Genomic DNA, 6,445 nt, shown 5'->3' on the forward strand with positions numbered 1-6,445 from the left:
AAAAATAAGGAAAAGGGGAAGGCTGCAATGAATATTGTGCTGATTGACAGTATCATTATGAACTCAAATTATTTAACATAAATGCATACAGATATAGAAATAGAGATATATGTATGAGTCAGTACACATGCATATGTTTCTTATCTGTACATGTTCAGAAAGCATAGGGGCAATGGCACCACAGAAAAGTAAGCCTAGCATTCAAATATTTGTTTCCAAATACTATTATTCTCCAGTAAGAGGAACTAGGGATTCTCTAGTTGAATGCATGACTGGGCCAGGGAATATGCAAGATGAGCCTGTACCATTTTGTGGTAGCAGAAAAAAAATGAAGTGATTAAGAAAAAAAGGTAAAAAAGGATGGGCCATGCCAAAAGGACACAGAATCAAACTGAAGTTCCCTATGGCCCAAACTAGACAAATCTGAAGAACAGAATACTCATAATAGTATTGGATTTTAGTCCATAGATTAAAATAGATATTCATAAGTCTATATTGACATAAATAAATGGGAATAAGGGATGGTCTTGGCTTATGGAAGAATTGAAACTGATAAATTAGAAAAATGATAGTGATAAAGACCCATTAGACAAAGAGTTCAGTAATTGTAGCAAGCAAGATCTACCAGTAGATGCTAACATCCGTGGGTAAAAGTTTGAAGAGGAGTAGGACATTAGCATAGTCTCAAAGTATCTCTGCCAAGATATTTATCAATTACAAAGGGGAAAATAGTAACATTACAGTGGAGATACTTGGAAGGTACCACCTTAAGGAAGTAATCATGGTTAAGATGTTGAGATTATGAACCCCTTGAGATGAAGAAGTGAGAAATACCATCACATCTCATTTTTGACAAAAATGCATAATCTTATTTTAATCACCAGAAACATGAGAAAGTTCAAAACTGAGATACACTCTACAAAATAACTGACCAGTACTCATCAAAAGTATTAAGGCCAGAGAAGACTGAGGAACCCTCACAGAATAGAAGCAATGAGGAACCCTCAACAGTTAAATGAAATGTAGGATTTTGGATTGGATCCTCAAACATAAAATGGACCTGAGTGGGAAAACTAGTGAAATGTTAATTTTTTTCAGTTAATAGTATTGTATCAATATTAATTCCTTGGTTTCGATAACTGTACTCTGATAATGTAAATTGTTGACATTTAAGGGAATCAGGGTGAATTAATTCCAGTGGATTAAACCTTTAATGTGAAAGGCAAAACTGTAAAAATTTTAGAAGACAGTACAGAAGCATAACTTTATAGCCTTTGGTCAAGAAAGACTTTATTAAAGAAGAAGCCAAAAAATAAAAAATTCAAACTATAAGTGCAATAGTTGATGAATTAACAATTAAAATTAACAGCTTTTGAACCTACAAGCAGAATAAAAAGATGATCCAAACCCAGGAGAAAATATTACAAGCATATGTAACTAATAAATAATTGTGACTATAAATATATAAATAGTTCCTACTAATCAAGAATTGAAACATAAATTTACTCGGTAGTAAAATAGGTAAAAGACATAAATGGATTTTCATAGAAAACAATATATGACTGGCTTAAGCATATTAAAAATGTTTAATTTCATTAGTAATTCCTAAAATGAAATATACAACTCTAATGAAATGCCATTTAACTCTCATCAGATTGGCAAATATGAAAAGTTAGATACTGTTAGGCCTGGCGCAGTGGCTCACGCCTGTAATCCCAGCACTTTGGGAGGCTGAGGCGGGAGGATCACAAGGTCAGGAGTTCAAGACCAGCCTGGCTAACATGGTGAAACCCCATCTCTACTGAAAATACAAACACTAGCTGGTCATGGTGGCACATGCCTGTAATCCCAGCTACTCGGGAGGCTGAGGCAGGAGAATGTCTTGAACCCGGATCCAGGAGGCAGAGGGGTTGCAGTGAGCCAAGATCACACCACTGCACTCTAGCTTGGCCAACAGAGCGAGACTGTCTCAAAAAAAAAAAAAAGTTACTGCTAAATGTTGGAAAGAATATAGATGAATGAGAATCTCATCCACTGCTGGTAGGAGTGTTACCTGGTAGAGTCTCTTTGCAAAACAGTTTAGTCTTACCAGTAAGGGTAGAATTTGTGCATAGGATATGACCAGCTCTTCCCCTCCTTGATACAACTCCTGGAAAATTTCCTGCACAAGCGCATTTAAGACATGTACAAAAATGTTCACAGCAGCATGATTCTGAGTAGTCAAGAACCAGGAAAATTCAAGTGTTCACCAACTATAAAATGTACAAATAAATATTGATGTATTTATACTATATGTTCATAGCATGGTATGTAGTATAGCATAGAGTATATGTTATGTATATAGTATACATAAATAAATGAAAGCTGCAAGTGTCAACATGGATGAATCTTAAAATCTGTTGAGTGAAAGAAGCAAGCCATGTAAACACACATTCTATGATTTTATTTATGTAGGGCTCAACAAAAACAGTAATTGTTCAATGATACACATACATTAAAGATATACATATAAAGCAAAATTATGAAAAGAAGTAATTAATGAATTTATCACAGTGATCATCCCTAGTGGGAAATAAGTGGTTATCAGGGAGAGGTACTCATGGGTTCTTTAATCTACTGATAACACTTCTTTCTCTCTATATATTCTATATAAAAAGTAAATAAAATAATATGTTTTATATACTATTTGGCATGTATTATATAGCATATAATTAAAAATAAACAGTTTTAGACGAAACAAAAATATTGCCTGAAACGTAACCACTAATTTATCAAAAGCCTTTGCTCTTAGGATTTTCTTTGTAGCTTAGAGATAAATCCATAGAATATAGTGTCTTGCTGGTTTGTTACTTAAAATGAACCAGTATTTTAAAAGACATTTCACTGTTTAAGAATGGGGTCATGAGTTTCAAGGCTGCTTCTCTGATCAAGAAAAAAAAGTGAAGATAATAATTTGGCTTTGGTTCCATCCCACACTTAAGTTACTAAAGAACATTAGTCCGCACTCGGCCATCTGCCATGCAATGTGCAGCCAGGGCAGGGAAAGTAACTCGTGTGAATTCAGAAACTTATCTCTCTGACATTCTGGCCCAGAAAAGAGAACCAGAAATAGAGTACTACCCGTTGAGCCAACATTTTCCCACAGTCTGTCTCAAATTTCATAGCCCTTGTTAAGTAAGTTGATAATATCAGTCCTATTCCCAGTGAGCAAATGTTAATGTCATTTAAATAGAATCTGAGGAAAGGATTTGATGAACCAAAAAGCTAACTGAAAGTATTGAGAGATCAAGAGTGGAGAATATATGAAGAAACACAAATTATTTGCTCTACCATTTTGCAAATTGTCTAACCCTGTACTTAAGGGAGAGAAGGCAAAGAGGGTCTGACATCATTTTTTTTCCATTAAGCAGGTGCAAATCTCTCTGGTATGTCCATTTTATTTTCTTATTTCTCTGTTCTCTTTCCGGTTTTTTTGTTTTATTCTTCCCAGTTTTTTAAAAAACTCTTAATATTGTTAGCTCCAGATCCATTCAGTAGGGACAAGTTAAGGTTAAAGATTAAGTAGGGTATTTGTTTTTTTCCTTTTGCTTCAAATACTGATTACTACAGGCTGGGTGTGAGAACAGATAGCTCAATTTTCATTGCTGCTTGCATCAGGACCTAGAAACAGAGTAAGCAAATACATGGTCTAAATTGTGCCTCTTTGGTGGAAAGCCTTTATGTTAAATATGTCTTGTTAAGTCTTAAGTAAATGTTAAGTAAATAAATCGCAGAACTTGAGGAAACAACAAAATGGGAAGTTAGTATGGTCCATTTTCACATCTTAAGTCCAGTCCCATGAACACAGCTTACAACTTTCTGTTTGGTCATGTAAGGGGATAAAAACATCCACATTGTAAATTCTAAAATATCATATTCTGTGACTTGGAGATAAGATTTTTTGATATTCCAGTTCTAGGAGCAAAATGAATAATTCTGCATGATTGCTAAAAGGAATAGCAGATAAATTGTATAAATCATTATTTCTTTGAATGAGCTCTACTCACATTAAATAAAAAGTCACAGTAATTTCCTAGAGAAAAAAATTGGTATATATTGAAGTTTCCTGTAGTTGGAATTTTTGACCAACTTCCATGTGCATCTCCAAAACCGTATGCTAACCCAAAGAAGTGAAATTCAAGACATTGAGAAAGAGTGATGATCAGGGCGGGAAGATACATCTGCAAAAATATTTTCTACCATTGGCTTGAATATTTTACCAATAAAATATACTTACAGAGGACTACTGTTAAAATACAAATTACCTTGAACAAGTAAGACATTAGGTACCAAGACATATATAATAACAGTCCAGTGTGGCTATGGTTTTCAAAGTAAGGAGCCAAAGTGAGAAAAATGTGAATATGTCAGCATTCTACAAATATGGTAAGAGAGGAAATTAGTATAAATTACACCGAGAGCAATCCAGCTTGATATTTTGCTTTTAGATCCTTTGTTAGTCTTCTTGTAGGGTTTTCCATTTTAATAAAGGATCAAATTTTAAAGGGATTAAGTTCTTATGGGGAGGGGTCAGAATTTCAGGCTTCACCCAGTGGGTGAATGAGTTATCTGGAGGAACACTGAAGCATTTTTCATCCCTTTCAAAGTCACCCTAAGGAGACAGCTGCTTACCCCTGTTCTAGGGGATGATTATATTTTAGTGAAAGGGTGATTATAAGCTTGAGGCTCACTATCTTTTGAAGCATGTAAACAAGTTCTAAGGCAGTTTCCAAAAGCGGAGTTCAAAGTTCAAATAGGTAGTTAGCTCCCTGATGTAAATATTAGGCTGGTGCAAAAGCAACTGCAGTTTTGCCATTACTTTTAATGGCAAAAACTGCAGTTGCTTTTGCCCCAGCCTAATACTTTGAAGCACAGCACACATTTTTATGTTTGCTCTGGTGTATCTGATAATAGTCTCATTTAAATATTTCTTCCACTTAGGAAGCTTGCCTCATGGAAACAAGGAGTAGGAAGAGCACTGAGTATGTGTTGTTTTTTTTTTAATACTTTAAGTTCTGGGGTACATGTGCAGAATGTGCAGGTTTGTTATATAGGTATACACGCACCCATCAACCCATGGTATACATTAGGTATTTCTCCTAATGCTATCCCTTCTCTAGCCCCCCATCCGCCGATAGGCCCCGGTGTGTGATGTTCGCCTCCCTGTGTCCATGTGTTCTCATTGTTCAACTCCCAGTTAGGAGTGAGAACATGTGGTGTTTGGTTTTCTGTTTTTGTGTTAGTTTGCTGAGAATGACAGTTTCCAGCTTCATCCGCGTTCCTGCAAAGGACATGAAGTCATTCTTTTTTTATGGCTGCATATTATTCCATGGTGTATATGTGCCACATTTTCTTTATCCAGTCTATCATTGATGTGGATTTAAGTTGGTTCCAAGTCTTTGCTATTGTGAACTGTGCTGCAGTAAACAGGTGTGCATGTGTCTTTACAGTGTAATGATATATAATCCTTTGGATATATACCCAGTAATGGGATTGCTGGAATGAAATTGTGGTTCTAGATCCTTGAGGAATCGCCACACTGTCTTCCACAATGGTTGAACTAATTTACACTCCCATCAACAGTGTAAAAGTGTTCCTATTTCTCCACATCCTCTCCAGCACCTGTTGTTTCCTGACTTTTTAATGATCACCATTCTAACTGGTGTGAGATGGTATCTCATTGTGGTTTTGATTTGCATTTCTCTAATGACCAGTGATGATGAGCTTTTTTTCATATGTTGGCTACATGTCTTCTTTTGAGAAGTGTCTGTTCATATCCTTTGCCCAATTTTTGATGGGGTTGTTTGTTTTTTCTTGTAAATTTGTTTAAGTTCTTTGTAGATTCTGGCTATTAGCCCTTTGTCAGATAGATAGATTGCAAAAAATTTCTCCCATTCTGTAGGTTGCCTGTTTACTCTGATGGTAGTTAATTAGATCCCATTTGTCAACTTTGACTTTTGTTGTCATTGCTTTTGGTGTTTTAGTAATGAAGTCTTTGCCCATGCTTTTGTCCTCAATAGTACCGCCTAGGTTTTCTTTTAGGGTTTTTATGATTTTAGGTCTTACATTTAAGTCTTTAATCTATCTTGAGTTAATTTTTGTAAAAGCTGTAAGGAAGGCATCCAGTTTCAGTTTTCTGCATATGGCTAGCCGGTTTTCCCAACACTATTTATTAAATAGGAAATCCTTTCCCCATTGTTTGTTTTTGTCAGGTTTGTCAAAGATCAGATGGTTATAGGTGTGTGGTGTTATTTCTGAAGCCTCTGTTCTGTTCCATTGGTCTATATATCTGTTTTGGTACTGGAACCATCCTGTTTTGGTTACTGTAGCCTTGTAGTATAGTTTGAAGTCAGGTAGCACGATGCCTCCAGCTTTATTTGCAAATGAGACTCTACCAGGTAACCCT

Source organism: Homo sapiens, chromosome 13 (assembly GCF_000001405.40).
Source record: "Homo sapiens chromosome 13, GRCh38.p14 Primary Assembly".
Lineage (NCBI taxonomy): Eukaryota > Metazoa > Chordata > Mammalia > Primates > Hominidae > Homo > Homo sapiens.